Source organism: Homo sapiens, chromosome X (genome assembly GCF_000001405.40).
Source record: "Homo sapiens chromosome X, GRCh38.p14 Primary Assembly".
NCBI classification, from domain to species: Eukaryota; Metazoa; Chordata; class Mammalia; order Primates; family Hominidae; genus Homo; species Homo sapiens.
In genome coordinates this window covers 67,905,189-67,924,131 of record NC_000023.11, presented here as the reverse complement: position 1 = coordinate 67,924,131, position 18,943 = coordinate 67,905,189, and positions in this window count along the sequence as shown.

Genomic DNA, 18,943 nt, shown 5'->3' with positions numbered 1-18,943 from the left:
CCAAATGATCTTCTAACAGGAAATGTGAAGCTTAGCATAGAAAAACTTAACTGGGCTAAAAAAAGTCAGGCCATCTCTACACATTTAAATGAAAGTTAAAATTCAGAAAATTAACAGGTTAATTATTGCTTAATTCTCTGGAGGATCCTTTTTTTCCCCAAACTTTTTATTATTATTATTATACTTTAAGTTCTGGGATACATGTGCAGAACTGCAGGTATACATGTGCCATGGTGGTTTGCTGCACCCATCAACCCGCCATCTACATTAGGTATTTCTCCTAAAGCTATCTATCCCCTTGCCCCACACCCCTAGACAGGCCCCAGTGTGTGATGTTCCCCTCCCTGCAAGTTCCTTCCAGGTCTGGGTGAGTCTGTAGATGCTGTCTCAGAGCCAGGGCCTTGAGATGGGAACCATAGGAATCTACCTGGAGTTCTATTCTACTGTGGCTGAGCTGACACACAAGCCACAAGACAGCCTTTCCCACTCTTCTCTCCCCTTTCATCAAGCAGAGGCATCTCTCTCCATGACTACTACCACACTGGGCACATGGTGAGTACTGCCTGGCTACTGCTGATGTTCACTGAAGGCCCAAGGAATTTTCAGTGAGCTTGTGGTGATCTCTGCCAGTCCTGAGTCTCTCCCTTCAGGGCAGAGGGGGCTCTCCCCTCACCTAAGACAGGTCCAGAAATGCCTCCCAGAAGCCAAGGCTAGGCATCTGGGACCCCAGGAACTTGCTTGGTGTTCTACCTTACTGTGGCCAAGCAGGTTTCCAAGCTGCAAGACAAAGTCCCCTTTACTGTTCCCTCTCTTTTGCTCAAGCAGAAGGAGTCTCTACCCATAAGCACTATAGCTGTGAATGTGCTGGGTCACACCGAAAGCCAGCATGGCTCTGAGTCTCACCCAAAGCCCATGGCAAGTATTGCCCAACGACTACTGCTGATTAACCAAGACCCAAGAGCTCTCTAGTCAGCAGATGATGAATCTTACTAGGACTGGGTTATTTCCTTCAAGGCAGCTGTTTCCCTTCTGGCTCAGTGCATGTCTAGAAATATCATCTGGGAACTAGGGCCTGACATGGAGGACCTCAGGACTCTGTCTGATGTCCTGTTCTACTGTGGCTGAGCTGGTATTAAGTTGCAAGACTTAAATTCTCTTTACTCTCTACTCTCCTCTCCCCAAGCAGAAAGAAGGAGTGTCTCCCAGAGCTATGAGCGCTTCTGCCTGGGGTTGTAGGAGGTGTGATGCAAGCACCTTGGCTACCCCAGCTGGTGTCTCACTAGGTTGCATGTACCCCAAATCCACTGGTTCTGAACCCAGCACAGCATCAGGACTTGCCAAGGAATTGCAGTCCTGTGGCCTCAACTGCCTTTCAAGTTCATTTAGAACCCCAGAACAATTTAGTTCATGGTGGCAGAGCTTGCCAGAACTCAGGTTTCCAATTACTGAGATGTACAATTTGCCTCTGCCTGGGACTGGTCTAAATGCTCTCTCCATGGTCACCAGCTGAATTCTGCCCCATGCTTTCCACTGTGACAAAGCAGTACTGAGTTCCAATGCAAAGTCCCACAACCACTACACTCTCTCTCCCTCAAGCACACATACTCTCTTTACCATGCAGCCACTGCTGAGAATGGGGGAGAGATGGCGTATGCAACTCAAGACTGTCTTTCCTACCCTCTTCACTGTGTGAAGGCATTTTTAATGGATTCTTCTACTAGTAGATGAAGATATAACTATCAGTAATGTTTACATGTTAATTCCTAATGTATTCGAGTACATAAAGCAAAATTTCTTTAAAAGTAAACTTCCCCAAAAAAATTGTACTGTGAAATTCTACTATAACTCATTTTTTGGCAGATCAAGTAGGCAAATGTAATTAAGAATACAGAGGCTTTGAACCACATAACTATTATTATTAATTTTTATGTGAGCCTTTTTTCTTTATTTTTTCTAAAAAAAAAAAAAGAAGAAACAGGATACATGTGCAGAACATTCAGGTTTGTTACATAGGTATACATGTGCCGTGGTGGTTTGCTGCACCTATTGACCTGTCCTCTAAGTTCCCTACCCTGACCACCCAGCCCCCAACAGGTCCTGGTGTGTGTTTTTCCCCTCTCTGTGTCCATGTGTTCTCAATGTTCAACTCCCACATATGAATGAGAACATGCAGTGTTTGGTTTTCTGTTCCTGTGTTAGTTTGCTGAGAATTATGGTTTCCAGCTTCATCCATGTCCCTGCAAAGGGCCTGATCTCATTCTTTTTATGGCTGCATAGTTTTCCATGGTGTATATGTACCACATTTTCTTTATCCAGTCTATCACTGATGGACATTTGGGTTGGTTCCATGTCTTTCTTCTCCTGTTGAGAAGAAAGTAAGTAGTATTGCAGTAAACATATGTGTGCATGTGTCTTTATAGTAGAATGATTTATATACCTTTGGGTATATACCCAGTAATGGGATTGCTGGGTCAAATAGTATTTCTGTGAGCCACATAATTATGAGGAACAATTTAATAAATTATATATTGAGCTTTTTACCCTATAAGCAGAGACTAAATATTGTTTTCCAGGACCCACTGAATTGTGCAAATATTAAGTTTAAAAATTTTCATAGCAAGTAGTCCAAATAGATATGTCACAAAATGGTTTGAAATAATTAATGAATTTGAATTAATATGTATATAGAATAACTTTAAAATATTTAGTTTTTCATTCATGAGCATGGTATATCCCTCCATTTATCTGGGTCATCTTTTATATCCATCAATAAAATTTTATAGTTTTCTCCTCAAAGGTCATGAATATTTTTTATTATCCTTATTTCTAAGTGTTTTATTTTTACGTTGTTATTGTGACATAATTTATGTTCCTCTAACATTTTTATGTACTTTATTTATTTGTTTATTTAGAAATGGAGTCTCACTCTGTGGGCCAGGCTGGAGGGCAATGACGTGATCATAGCTCACTATAGCCTCAAACTCCAGGGCTCAAGAGATCCTTCCACCTCAGTCTCCCAGGTAACTGGGCCTATAGTGGGTACTTAGACCATTCTGGGCTTGCTGTTATGTTTTTAATTTGGTGATAAATGATTTGTAGGAAGGCTATTAAAGTAGTATTTTGTGGTTGTCATTTCTTAATTTAATAATAGTTTTCCTCTTAAGACATATCTTTCTTCTTTTTCAATCTTTATGTCTCTTATTTTGTCTTCTTGGGTTATTTTATTGCCTAAAATTGGCAGAATAATGTTGTGTAGTAGTGGTGATAGTGGGCATCTTGGTCTTCTTTCTGACATTGATGGTTATGCTTCCACTGTTTCACCATTAAGATTTGTGCTTTAGGTTTATTTAGATATTTTTTCCTGACTTTAATGGAAATGATTTTGTTATCTTAAAATTATGTATTTTATGTCCTGCAAGTTTCTGGAAGAATATTTTTCAACTTAAGGATGTTCCTTGATAATGCTAGTTAGCTAAGATTTTTTTTTCCATGAAATAATGGATGTGAGGTTCTTACCAACCACTTTTTCCACATCTAGTGAGATGGTTATATGATATTTTGTTCCTTAATCTGTTCAAGAAAGGCTTTCTAATGTGCCATTTTTCATTGCTGAGATAAACTCCACCTCGTTATGCTGTACTATTCTTTAAATATGCTTTTGGATTTAATTTGTCAATATTCTATTTAAAGTTTTTGCATTCATAGTCAGCAGTACGACATATTAATCAGGAATATAAACTCTGAAGTCAAACTACCTGAGTTTGAATTATGGCTCAATCACTTATTAGCAGTGTGCTCTTAGACAAATTACTTAACATTCTGTTTTTCTTATTTGTAAAATAGAGATAATAATAGTACCTATTCCATTTTGTTATCAAGAGGATTAAATATATTAATATATGTTCTGGTTATCTATTGCTGCATAACAAATCCAACAGGCATATATTTGCTTTGGTTTAAAACCCACCAAGTGCCAATTTGTTCCTGTTATCTGTTGCTGCATAAAAAAATCACAACATTTAGAGGCTTGAAACAAGAGTCACTTTTATCATGTCTTGTAATTATCTGGGCTCAGTGGAATAGTTCTCTTCCTACACATTGGAATGTCATTCATCTGGGAGAACACTGGGCCTGAAATGTCCAAGATAGCTCACTAATATGGCTGGTAGTTGATGCTGGAACAGCTGAAGCTGTCATCGGAGTGGCTACACATAGTTTATGTGGCTTGGGCTTCTTTCAGCCTGGAGACTGGGTTTGATGAAGAGTCCAAAAAAAGAGCATTGCAAGAAACCCAGGTAGAAGCCACAAAATTTTATTATTATTATTATTATTATTATTATTGAGACAGAGTCTCACTCTGTTGCCCAGGCTGGAGTGCACTCGGATGATCTTGGCTCACCGCAACCTCTGCCTCCTGGGTTCAAGTGATTCTCCTGCTTCAGCCTCCCGAGTAGCTGGGACTACAGGTGCATGCCACTATGCTCAGCTAATTTTTGTATTTTTAGTAGAGAGGGGATTTCATTATGTTGGCCAAGCTGGTCTAGAACTCCTGATCTCGTGATCCACTCACACTGGACTCCCAAAGTGCTGGGATTACAGGAGTGATCCACCGCGCCCGGCCAAGGCTTCTTATTACTTAGCTTTTGAAGTCCTAGAATATCACTTTCACTGGCTCTCAGGGTCTTCTTCCAATGTCATGGAGGTTATTAGCAGAATTCATTTCCTTGAGATCATAGGACTTAGTTTCTATTTTCTTTCTGTCTTTCAACTGGGGAAGGATGGGTTGCTCTCTGCTCTTAGAGACCACCCTCTGGTCCTAGCTAAGTGGTTCTCTCATAACATGGTAGCTTACTTCTTCAAAGTAGGATAATTGCTTTCAGTATTTTATGTCAAAGTCTTATATAACATAACGCGGTCATGATAGTCAATCCCACCCTTGCCTTATAACATAACATAATCAAGAGTAACTATCCCATCGTATTCATAACTTCTAGCCATAGTCTATGGAAGACCATGTACACCAGGGGTTGGGAATCTTCAAAGTCATTTTAGAATATTGCCTATCACAGTGGGCAAAGGGCATGAACAGGGAAACCATAAGAAATACAAATGGCCACTAAATACATGCAAAATGATATTAAAAAATAAAATTAAACTCAATTTACAGCTAAGTTTAGGAGACTTGATCATCATACTGAATGGGAGGCAGGACTAGATTGTAGCCCTGACTCGGACAGACAGAGCTGCGTGTGGAGGCTCGCATCATGAATTTTAGCTCCAGAACAACTGCAAGTTCAAACTAGGAATCCCAAGAGGACCCACAGACCATCCGGAGGAAGTGGACTGTTCCTGCAGGACCTGGGAGGCACCCCAAATACTTTGAGTACCCAAGCTGGGGAAGTGGGAAAGGGAGATCTTCCACTCCCGAACACACACCCCCACTAGGGAAACTGAAGGTCTAGTTTGAGGGAGAAGTTTCTGATCTTACCTGGAGCTGAGTCAATTTAGAGAGCCAAGAGAAATACAGGGGTAGGGGAAGCAACAGGAAAGGCCCTGGGAGCTTGTTGGGTCCCCAAGCAGGTCATTCTTGATTGGCATCACAGGGATCCTTCAGGAGGGTGGCCAGAGGGGTAGGGAAAATGCCACAGGGAGAAGAAAGTCTCCAGCTGAACTTTGTAACAATTTGAACTGGGCAAGAAACCTCCTGACCAGAACTTGGGGAGGGCATGAATCCAGTGTACAGACTCCACAGGTGGGGGAAGAACCAAAAGCCCTTTTCTTTCACAGCTGGGAGGCAGGTAGCCTGGGGAAAGTTCTCAAGCCCTGCTCACTCACTGCCTGGAAATGGACTCGGTGCTGTTAGGGAGAGCATGGTGAGTGTGAGACTGGCCCTTTGGATTTCGTGGGAGCTTGGTGAGGCCTGTGACTGCCAGCTTTCTGCCATTTCCCTGACAACCTGCGTGACTCAGCAGAGGCAGCCGTAATCCTCCTAGGGACACATCTCGATTGATCTGGGAACCTCACCCCATCCCCCACAGCAGCCACAGCAAGACCCACCCAAGGAGAGTGAGCTCAAACACACCTAGCCCTGCCCCCACCCAGTGGTCCTTCCCTACCCACCCTGGTAACTGAAGACAAAGGGCATATACTCTTGGGAGTTCTAGGGCCTCGCCCACCACCAGCTCTTCTCCATACTACCACAGCTGATGCTCTCTGGAAAGTGCCACCTCCCAGCAGGAGGCCAACCAGAACAAAAATAGAACATTAAACCACCAAAGCTAAGAACGCTCACAGAGTCCATTTCACACCCATGCCACCTCCACTGGAACAGGTGCTGGTATCCACAGCTGAGAGACCCATAGTTAGTTCACATCACAGGACTCTGTGCAGACAACTCCCAGTAACAGCCAGAGCCTGGTAGACTTGCTGGGTGGCCAGACCCAGAAGAGAGATAACAATCACTGCAGCTTGGCTTTCAGGAAGCCACATACATAGGAAAAGGGGAAGCATACTACATCAGGGGAAACCCTGTGGGACAAAAGAATCTGAATAACAGCCTTCAGCTCTAGACCTTACCTCTGACAGAGCCTACAGAAATGAGAAGGAACCAGAAAACCAACTCTGCTAATATGACATAACAGGGCTCTTTATCACCCACAGAATATCACACTAGCTCACCAGCAATGAATCCAAATCAAGAAGAAGTCCCTGATTTACCTGAAAAAGTATTCAGGAGGTTAGTTATTAAGCTAACCAGAGGCACCAGAGAAAGGTGAAGCCCAATGCAAGGAAATCCAAAAAATGATACAATAAGTGAATGAACAAATATTCAAGGAAATAGATAGCATAAAGAAAAAACATTCAAATCTTCAGGAAACATCGGATACACTTACAGAAATGCAAAATGCTCTGGAAAGTCTCAGCAATAGAATTGAACAAGCAGAAGAAAGAAATTCAGAGCTTGAAGAAAAGGTCTTTGAATTAATCCAATCCAACAAAGACAAAGAAAAAGAAAATATGAACAAAGCCACCAAGAAGTCTGGGATTATGCTAAATGACCAAACCTAAGAATAATTAGTGTTCGGAGGAAGAAGAGAAATCTAAAAGTTTGGAAAACATATTTGGGGGAATACTCAAGGAAAACTTCCCTGACCTTGCTAGAGACCTAGACATCCAAATACAAGAAGCACCTGGAAAATTTATTGCAAAAAGATCATCACCTAGGCACATTGTCATCAGGTTATCTAAAGTTAAGATGAAGAAAAAATCTTAAAAGCTGTGAGACAAAAGCACCAGGTAACCTATATAACAGCACATGGAGATTTCTCCAAGACAGACCATATGATAGGTCACAAAATGAGCCTCAATAAATTTAAGAAAATTGAAATTATATCAAGCACTCTCTCACACCACAGTGGAAAAAAACTGGAAATCAACTCCAAAAGGAACCTTCAGAAACATGCAAGTACACGGAAATTAAATAACCTGCTCATGAATAATCACTGGGTCAAAAACAAAATCAAGATGGAAATTAAAACATTCTTCTAATTGAATGAAAATAATAATACAACCTATCAAAACCTCTGAGATACAGCAAAGACAGTGCTAAGAGGAAAGTTCATACCCCTAAATGCCTACATCAAAAAGACTGAAAGAGCATAAACTGACATTCTAAGGTCACACCTCAAGGAACTAGAGAAACAAGAACAAACCAAACTCAAACCCAGCAGAAGAAAGGAAATAACCAAGATCAGAGCAGAACTAAATGAAATTGAAACAAACAAACAAAAAATACAAAAGATAAATGAAACAAAAAGCTAGTTCTTTGAAAAGATAAACAAAATTGGTAGACCATTAGCAAGATTAACCAAGAAAAGAGCAGAGAAAATCCAAATAACCTCATTAAGAAACGAAATGGGAGATATTACAATTGACACCACTGAAATACAAAAGATTATTCAATGCTACCATGAACATCTTTATGGGCATAAACTAGAAAATCTAGAAGAGATGGATAAATTCCTGGAAAAATACAACCCTCTTAGCTTAAATCAGGAAGAATTAGATACCCTGAACAGACCAATAACAAGCAGTAAGATTGAAATGGTAATTAAAAAATTACCAACAAAAAAAAAAGCCCAGTACTAGACAGATTCAGAGCAGAATTCTACCAGACATTCAAAGAAGAATTGGTACCAACCCTTTTGACACTATTCCACAAGATAGAGAAAGAGGGAATCCTCCCTGATTTATTCTATAAAGTTGGCATCACCTTAATACCAAAACCAGGAAAAGACATAACCAAAAAAGAAAACTACAGACTGATATCTCTGATGAACATAGATGTTAAAATCCTTAACAAAATACTAGCTAACCAAATCCAACAACATATCAAAAAGATAATCCACCATGATCAAGTGGGTTTCATACCAGGGATGCTGGGATGGTTTAACATATGCAAGTCAATAAATGTGATACACCACATAAACAGAATTAAAAACAAAAATCACATGATGATTTCAATAGATGCAGAAAAAACATTAAACAAAATCCAGCATCTCTTTATGATTAAAACTCTCAGCAAAATTGGCATACAAGGGACATACTTCAATATAATAAAAGCCATCTATGACAAACCCACAGCCAACATAATGCTGAATGGGGAAAAGTCAAAAGCATTCCCTCTGAGAACTGGAAAAAGACAAGGATGCCCACTTTCACCACTCCCCTTCAACATAGTACTGGAAGTCCTAGACAGAGCAATCAGACAAGAGAAAGAAATAAAGGTCATCCAAACCAGTGAAGAGGAAGTCAACTGTCACTGTTTGCTGATGATATGATTGTTCACCTCAAAAACCCTAAAGACTCCTCCAGAAAGCTCCTAGAACTGATAAAAGAATTCAGCAAAGTTTCCAGATACAAGGTTTTTTTTTTTTTTTTTTTTTTTTGACATGGAGCCTTGCTCTGTCGCCCAGGCTGGAGTGCAGTGGCACAAGCTCGGCTCACTGCAACCTCTACCTCCTGGGCTTAAGCAATTCTTCTGCCTCAGCCTCCTGAGTAGCTGGGATTACAGGAGCCCACCATCATGTCCAGCTAATTTCTGTATTTTTAGTAGAGATGGGGTATTGCCATGTTGGCCAGACTGGTCTCAAAGTCCTTACCTCAAGTGATCCTCCCACCTCAGCTTCCCAAAGCTGGGACTACAGGTGTCAGCCACCATGCCTGACCCAGATACAAGATTAATGTACACAAATCAGTAGCTCTTCTATACACCAATAGCAACCAAGCTGAGAATCAAGTCAACATCTCAACTCCTTTTAAAATAGCTGCAAAAAAAGAAAAATAAAATATGTAGGAATATACCTAACCAAGGAGGCAAAATACCTCTACAAGGAAAACTACAAAACACTGCTGAAAGGAATCATAGATGACACAAACAAATGGAAACATATCGCATGCTCATGGATGGGTAGAATCAATATTGTGAAAATGACCATACTGCCAAAAGCAATCTACAAATTCAATGCAATCCCTATCAAAATACCACCATCATTCTTCACAGAATTAGGAAAAACAATTCTAAAATTCACATGGAACCAAAAAAGAGCCCACAGAACCAACATGAGACTAAGCAAAAAGAACAAATCTGGAGGCATCACACTACCTGATTTGAAACTATACTATAAGGCCATAGTCACCAAAACAGCATGGTATAGGTATAAAAATAGGCACATAGACCAATGGAACAGAATAGAGAACCCAGGAATAAACCCAAATACTTACAGCCAGCTGATGTTTGACAAAGCAAACAAAAATATAAAATGAGGAAAGGACATCCTTTTCAACAAATAGTGCTGGGATAATTGGCTAGCCACATGTAGGAGAATGAAACTGGATCCTCGTGTCTCATCTTATACAAAAGTCAACTCAAGAGGGGTCAAGTTCTTAAAATCTAAGACCTGAAACTATAAAAATTCTAGAAGATAACACTGAAAAACCCTTCTGGACATTGGCTCAGGCAAGGATTTCATGACCAAGAACCCAAAAGCAAATGCAATAAAAACAAAGATAAATAGCTGTGAATTAATTAAACTAAAGAGCTTTTACATGGCAAAAGGAACAGTCAGCAGAGCAAACAGAGAGCTCACAGAGTGGGAGAAAACCTTCACAATTTATACATCTGACAAAGGAATAATATCCAGAATCTACAACGAACTCAAACAAATCAGTAAGAAAAAAAGGGAACAATCCCATCAAAAAGTGGGCTAAGGACATGAATAGACAATTCTCAAAAGAGAATATACAAATGGCCAACAAACATATGAAAAAATGCTCAACATCACTAACGATCAGGGAAATACAAATCAAAACCACAATGCAATACCACCTTACTCCTGCAAGAATGGCTGTAATCAAAAAATTAAAAAAACAGTAGATGTTGGTGTGGATGCAGTGATCAAGGAACACTTCTACACTGCTGGTGGGAATGTAAACTAATTCCGCCACTTTGGAAGACAGTGTGGAGAGTCCTTAAAGAACTAAAAGTAAAACTACCATTTGATCCATCAGTCCCACTACTGGGTATCTACCCAGAGGAAAAGAAGTCATTATACAAAAAAGATACTTGCACATCCATGTTTATAGCAGCAGAATTTGCAATTGCAAAATCATTGAACCAACCCAAACGCCCATCACTCAACAAGTGGATAAAGAAACTGTGGTATGTATAGATGATGGAATACTACTGTGTGTGTGTGCATATATATATATATATGATGGAATACTACTCAGCCATAAATAGCATTGAATTAACGGCATTCACAACATCCTGGATGAGATTGGAGACTATTATTCTAAGTGAAGTAACTCTGGAATGGAAAACCAAACATCGTATGTTCACACTGATATGTGGGAGGTAAGCTATGAGGATGCCAAGGCATAAGAATGACAAAATGGACTTTGGGGACTTGAGGGGAAGGTTGGAAGTGGGGCAAGGGACAAAAGACTACAAACAGGGTGCAGTGTATACTGCTCAGGTGATGGGTGGACCAAAATCTCACAAGTCACCACTAAAGAACTTACTCTGCTGGGCGGTGGCTCACACCTGTAATCCCAGCACTTTGGGAAGCCAAGATGGGTGGATCACGACGTCAGGAGTTCGAGACCAGCCTGGCCAACATAGTGAAACCCCATCTCTACTAAAAATACAAAAATTAGCCAAGTGTGGTGGCACACACCTGTAGTCCCAGCTACTCGGGAGGCTGACGTGGGAGAATTGCTTGAACCCAGGAGGCAGAGGTTGCAGTGAGCCGAGACGACGCCATTGCACTCCAGCCTGGGTGACAGAGTGAGACTGCATCTAAAAAAGAAGAAAGAAAGAAAAAGAGAAAAAGAACTTATTAATGTAACCAAACACTACATGTACCCCAATAAAGTATGGAAAAATAAAAACAACAAAAATATTTTAAACCCACTAAGTTTAAAGGTACCATTTTTCTCTTTGATAGTACAGTATTGGGCAGAATATGAATTGGTCATTTCTACATTCACTCCATGATAGTATAAATCAGCACATTCATTCTGAAGGACCAGTCGGAGCTTAAAAATATATTATCATTTGTATTATTATAGTTTGCTTTTATACTTCCAGAAGGAATTATCATATGTGTCAGCCAACATTTAACTGCTAGTTGTTCATTGAAGTACTGTATGTAATAGCAAAACAACTGGAAACCACCTGTGTTTATAATAGTGTGGGATTGTTAATTAAATCAGATTTACTAATAAGTATACTCTGCAGCCATATTCAATTACTGAGGAAAATACTCATAAAAAGCAGATATAAATGTCCAGAATTATCCCATTAAAGATGTTTTTCATGAGCTGATGTTAAGGATTTTTTGGCTTTGGAGTGGCGAGACACAATGGTATTTCACTTTACATAAGAAGCAACCCTTACATTTAATATCTTTTTAACAGTTTTCCTAGTCAAGGGTTATATAGAATGTGTATGAAGATGGTTAAGTGAAATGGTAATGGTAGACTTTATGCCACACAGAACTAGATATGTTTGATGTTTAGAGGGAACTCAGAACCATCCTAGCTTTCTACCTTGAGAAAGAGTGTGGAGCACTAGAAAGAATATGAGATTAGAAATCAGAAGGCTCATATTCTAGATTATTTCACTGACCTGTTATGACACCTGGAACACTTCTTTCTGCTCTGTGAACCTCATTTTCCCCATCTATACAATGAAAAGTTTGGATTAAAACCATGCTTCTCAACCCTGGCTGCATATTGGAATTTTCTGGGGAGATTTTAAAACTACTGATGCCTGGGCCTACCCATAAGCAATTAAATATGAATCTCTGCAGATAAGGCCAAGGGGACTCGTATTTTTGTAAAGGTTTACTACCTCCCTCCCAACCCCCAGGAGATTCTGCTGTTAAATCAGGGCTGAGAACCACTAAATTAATTGATCTCTATGGAAGCCTTCCAATTCTGATATTTGAGACCCTATGCATTTTGAAAGACTAACATTCAGGTCATCTTTTATTCTTAGTGGTTCTGACAGCCCCACCTCCAAGTAGGACACATAAGGTGTATGTGGATCATCGGGCTCAGGAAGAGAGTCATATAGCCAACTACTAAGGACTGTTGGGAGGGAAAACCCTGGACAGGATGGAATTGATGTTCACAGTTTTACCTCTCCTGGATTTACACTTCTTTCTGTACCCAAGTTCACTAGTTCTTTCCAAGATGCTGAACATCTGGTCTCATCCCTCTCTTTGGTCAGTTGAAATCTGTCCAAATCCCTTTCCCCTTAGCTCAGCTATGGCAGGGTTGAAATTTTCCAAAAGAAACATTTATGAGGAAATTAAAGGAAGAGGAAACAATCACAAAAGCAGAGTGGTGTTAATAGAGAACATAGTTTTAAATTCAATCTATCTGCTGCATGGCCTGGCTGACTCACAGCTTACAAGGCATCTGGTCCCAATTCTCATTCTTTGCCTCAAGATGGAAATATTGGATAGTAGTGGTGCCAAAGATGTCCAGAATTTAGCCCAAGGTAGACTCATGCAGGCTGTTGTGCTAGGTCTTTGGAAATTAGCCCCAATTACTAGTCAGTCCCCTTTGTTTGAGGCTTGTGCTACCCTCTTGTCCTGCAATTGCTATGACCCAAGACTACCCTCACCCTCAAGAGAGATATTTCTCTCACTTGGGATCTTGGTGGATGACCATTACTGACTGGGCATCCAGCTCCTGCTGCTCTTCCTCTGGAGGGCCTAAAAGGCTTCATTTCCCAGAAACCTGATTTTGTGTCTGGGGCCAGATCTTTAGGGGGCTCTCCATTTGCCTGATATACATTAACTCCTTTGTATTAAGGCTCTGCTGTCCCTTTGTGAAACTAGACTCCTTCACCTGCTGATTGCAGCTGATGGGTTTGCCCTTTCTAACTTTGTAACCAAGACATCCTCCATGGAAAGCTACAAATATTGGTCTGGAGTCCCTAGAGAAGAGCTGGTTTGCCTAGCATGTTACTACAGCTTCAAGGAGAAAAGCCACAGAAAAGCAAGCACCACATTCGCCTGAGAAAGGCCAGCAGTCAAACCTGGAAAGATATATTCTTGATTTTTTAATTGATACACAATAATTGTACATATTTATGGGGTGCGTGTGATATCTTTGATATGTGCATACAATGTGCAATGATCAAATCATTACAGGATAATTGAGATATCCATTACCTCAAGCATACATGTGGGAAGACATATTCTATCATGAAATCCAATGAATGAGCACAAGCCAGTGATGAGAGGAAAAGACAAAAAATTATAGGCCAGATAGGCTCTATAAGGGAGTCACAAGCAAAGATGGCAAAAATAAAATAAGAGGGCAAAATAGTGGCCTTGAATGGGATCACAGTAGTGTCCAAGTTTCATTTTATTGATAGTTTTATGGATGGGTTGGCCTTGTTTTTTTCTTTTCCTTGGTAAGATGAGCTGATCTTATTTTACTTTTATTATTTTACCCAGCCACGACATCCCTGTGAGGTCCCTAGTCAGCCTGGGCTCAGATGACCTGATTTTAAAGCACAGCATCTAGGCTGAATTTACAGCCTCTTCCTTATACTCTGTGTATCTGCTTCAGAGTTGTTAGGCTCTTGCCTCTCTCATATGAGGGTCACTACCTGCCTATTCCAGTGAATGTTCCTGCATGATCTTACTTCCCCCTTATGGTTACCAGCTTCCCCACACCTCTCCCTCAGACAGGCCGTTTAGAAGTCTATCATCAAAGGCTCATAATTGTAAAACATTTTACACTCCCAGCAATGAAACAAGCAATTGGCAACAATGTAAAGAGGAGTTCACTCCCCATAGTAGAGAGTGGAGGGCAACACTGACTGGGAAAGCAATGATGGCAGGACCTGGCCCTACTTGTCCTCCCAGAGTTGGGGCAGAGTGGCCATCTAGTATAAAAGGAAAGACTGAACAATGATTTGGCAGGATGGATGTCTGAATTCCAATCTTAACCTTTCTTATTGTAGAGTGATTTTAAGAGCATGGGATTATAATTAGACACAACATGGTGTCCTGGCTTAGTAGCTTAGTAGCTGTGTGAGCTTTGGCAAGTTTCTCAGAGCCTCAGTTTTAATATCTGTGCAATGAAGAGTCTAGTAATACTCACTTTCTAGGGTTGTTGTGAGGCTCAAGTGAGGTAATGTACACAAAGTGTCTAGAAAAATACATAACTAATAAAAGGTAGTTATCATTGCTGCTTGTTGGAATCCCTTATGGTTCCTGGTCCTCAGTTCCTTCAACTTAAGAAACAGGGATGATAAGGCTCAGCTCATCTATCTCACTGGGCTGTGACAAGAACCACAGGTAAAAGTACTTCATAAACTCCAAAGTGCTGCCACAGCTTTACTTTGACCAGTTATAGCGGGGCAGACTGCTGGAATAAGTCAACATCCAGCCATCTATCTCCATGAAGAATAAATATGAAAAAAATTTTCTTCCCCATGTCTTTTCCCTGGAAAGAGAAAAGACTGGATTCATACATTTCTGAATGGGGCTCTATCCAGAGGATAATTAGCCAATTGGGGAATATTAGAGAAAAATCTCCCTTCCAGTGAAGAATGAAAAACATTTGGGGAGATCAAGTGAAATTCTGGATGTGAATATGGCCAGCATGTGGCTGAAAAAATGGTAGGTAATGATCTTTTCTGCTGTTTTTCTTCTTGGTTTTATAATAGAGAGTAAGGAATATAAGTTCTAGCTTGAGAGTTGATATCTAACAGCAGGGAAGCTCTGGCTACCTACCCAGTGGTATATGTCTGCAATCACAGTTCTTGGGTCAATTCCTTTTGGAATAAACATAATTAAATAAATTCACACCAAAGAGCCTAGAAAATTTAATGGAATGTAATAACAAAATTACAGTGTCATAGCACGTGAGAATAGGAAGGATCCTTAGACTACAAGTTCTTTCTCTCACCTGGGTAGATGAGCAATGATGACATTTGAACTGATTCAATCCCTTGAGAAGCATTAGTTGTCAGCCTAGAATATGACAGAAATATGTCAGAAGTTGAGTGTATGTTTGTGAGTGGGAAAATATCTCTGTCCTTATTGAGTTTATAGTCTAGTAGGGAAAAGAGAGAATATGCAAGTAAACAAATGAATAAATTAAACATATGTACAAAATTTGAAGTGCTATAAACATAAGCAAATACTGAGGTAGAGAATAAATATGTGGTGGGAGAGAGGAAATTTGTTAGAATTGTTTGTACATGATGGGTTCAGGAGAAGTCTCAGAAAGGATTTAAGTTTATTTTGTTATTTTTAATTTTTGTGGGTACATAATAGGTGTATATATTTATGAGGTACATGAGATATTTTGATACAGGTATGTGATACATAATAATCTCATCATGGAAAATGAGATATTCATCCCCTCAAGCACTTATCCTTTGTGTTACAAACAATCAAATTATACTTTTAGTTATTTAAAAATGTGAAATTAAATTATTTTGACTATAATAATTTAAGTCAGGTGACTGTTGTGCTAGTAAATACTAGGTCTTATTCAATCTTTCTAATTATTTTTTTCTGTACCCATTAACCATTTCCACCTTCTCCCTGCCACTACCCTTCTCAGTCTCTGGTAGCCATCCTTCTACTCTCTATCTCCATGAGTTTAATTGTTTTGATTTTTAGATCCCACAAATAAGTGAGAACATGTGACATTTGTCTTTCTGTGCCAGCTTTATTTCATTTAACAATAACCACCAGTTCCATCCATGTTCTTGCAAATGACAGGTTCTCATTCTTTTTTATGGTTGAATAGTACTCCATTGTGTATAAGTGCCACATTTTCCTTATCCATTCATCTATTGATGGACACTTAGGTTATTTTCAAATCTTAGCTATTGTGAAGAGTGCTGCAACAAACATGGGAATGTAGATACCTCTTTGGTATACTAATTTCCTTTCTCCTGATTATATGCTCAGCAGTGGGATTGCTGTATCATATAGTAGCCCTATTTTTAGTTTTTTGAGAAATCCCTAAACCATTCTTCATAGTAGCTGTACTAATTTACATTGCTGCCAATACTGTATGAATGTTATCCTTTCTGAATATTCTCATCAGCATTTGTTATTGCCTGTCTTTCAGATATAAGGCATTTTAACTGGAGTGAGATGATATTGTAGGTTTGATTTGCATTTCTCTGACTATCAATGATGTTGAGCACCTTTTCATATGCCTGTTTGCCATGTGTATGTCTTCTTTTGAGAACTGTCTGTTCAGATTTTTTGACCATTTCTTAATTGGACTATTAGATTTTTTTTCTTGAGGGTTGTCTGAGCTCCTATATATTCTGGTTATTAATTCTTTGTCAGATGGATAGTTTGCAAATATTTTCTCCCATTCTGTGGGTTGTCTCTTCAATTTGTTGATTGTGCTCTTTGCTGTGCAGAAACTTTTCAATATCTTCTGATTCCATTTGTCCATTTTTGCCTTGGTTGCCTGTGCTTGAGAATTATTGCTCAAGAAATTTTTGCCCAGATCAACGTCCTGGAGAGTTTCCCCAATGTTTCCTCGCAGTTTGGGGTCTTAGATTTAAGTCTTTAATCCAGCTTATTTTGATTTTTATACATGGTGAGAGGTAGGCTCATAGTTTCATTCTCTTGCGTATGAATATTCAGTTATCCCAACACCATTAATTAAAGAATCTTTCTTTTCCTCAGTGTATGTTTTTGGCACATTTGTCAAAAATGAGTTCACTGTAGGTGTGTAGATTTGTTTCTGGGTTCTCTGTTCTGTTCACCTGTGTGTGTGTTTTTATGCCAGTATTATGCTGTTTTGATTTCTATAGCTCTGTAGTATAATTTGAAGTCAGGTAATGTGATACATTCAGTTTTGTTTTTTTTTTTAATTTTAATTTTTAGTTTTTGTGTGTACCGTATATAGTAGGTGTATATATTTATGGGGTAACTGAGATATTTTGATGCAGGCATGCAATGTGAAATAAGCACATCATGGAGAATAGGGTGCTCATCCCCTCAAACATTTATTTTTTGAATTATAAACAATCCAATTGCACTCTAAACTGTGTTCAAATGTACAATTATTATTTACTATAGTCACTCTATTATGCTACCAAATAATAGGTCTTATTCATTTTTACTATTTTTTTGTACTGATTAACCATCCTCACTCCTCCGTCCCCCACCCAAGGACCCCACTACCCTTTCCAGCCTCTGGTAATTATTGTTCTACTCTTTATGTCCATGAGTTTTATTCTTTTAATTCTTAGATCACACAAATAATGAGAACATGCAATGTTTGTCTTTCCGTGCCTGGATTATTTCACTGAACATGATGATCTCCATTTCCATTCATGTTGTTGCAAATGACTGGATCTCATTCTTTTTATGGCTAAATAGTACTCCATTGTGTGTCTGTTCCACATTTTCTTTATCTATTCATATGTCAACAGACACTTAGGTTTCTTCCAAAACTTAGCTACTGTAAACAGTGCTGCAACAATCGTAAGAGTAAAGATATCTCTTCAATATACTGATTTACTTTCTTTTGGGTATTTACTAAGCAGTGGGATTGCTGGATCATATGGTGGCTCATTTTTAGATGTTTGAGGAACTTCCAAACTATTCTCTGTAGTGGTTGTACTAATTTACTCCCCTCCACCAGTATATGAGGATTACGTTTTCTCCACATTCTCACCAGCATTTGTTATTGCCTGTCTTTTGGATATAAACAATTTTATCTGGGTTGAGATGATGTTTCATGGTAGTTTTGATTTGCATTTTTCTGATGATTAATGATGTTAAGCATCTTTTCTTATGCTTTGTTTGCCATTTGTATGTCTTCTTTTGAGAGATGTCTATTCAAATTTTCCCCCATTTTTGATTGGATTATTGAATTTCTTTTCCTATAGACTGGTTTGAGCTCCTTCTATATTTTGGTCAGTTGGATAGTTCGCTAAGATTTCCTCCCATTCTATGGGCTGTATCTTCACTTTGTTGATTATATCTTTTGCTGTGCAGAAGCTTTTTAACTTTCCTCCTTTTTTATTTTTTGGAAGAGTTTGAGTAGAATTGGTGTCAGTTCTTCTTAAATATTTGGTAGAATTCAGCACTGAAGCCATTGGATTCTGGGATTTTCTTTACCAAAAGACTCTTTATTACAGCTTTGATCTTGTTATTTGTTATTGGTCTGTTCAGTTTTTGGATTTCTTCACAGTTCAATCTTTGTAGGTTGTAGGTGTCCAGGAATTTATCTATTTTTTTCTAGGTTTTCCAATTTATTGGCATATACTTGCTCAAAGTAGTTACTAATGATCTTTTGAATTCCTGCAATATCAGTTGTAATGTCTTCTTTTTAATCTCTGTATTCATTTAGTTAGTTAGTTCCTCTC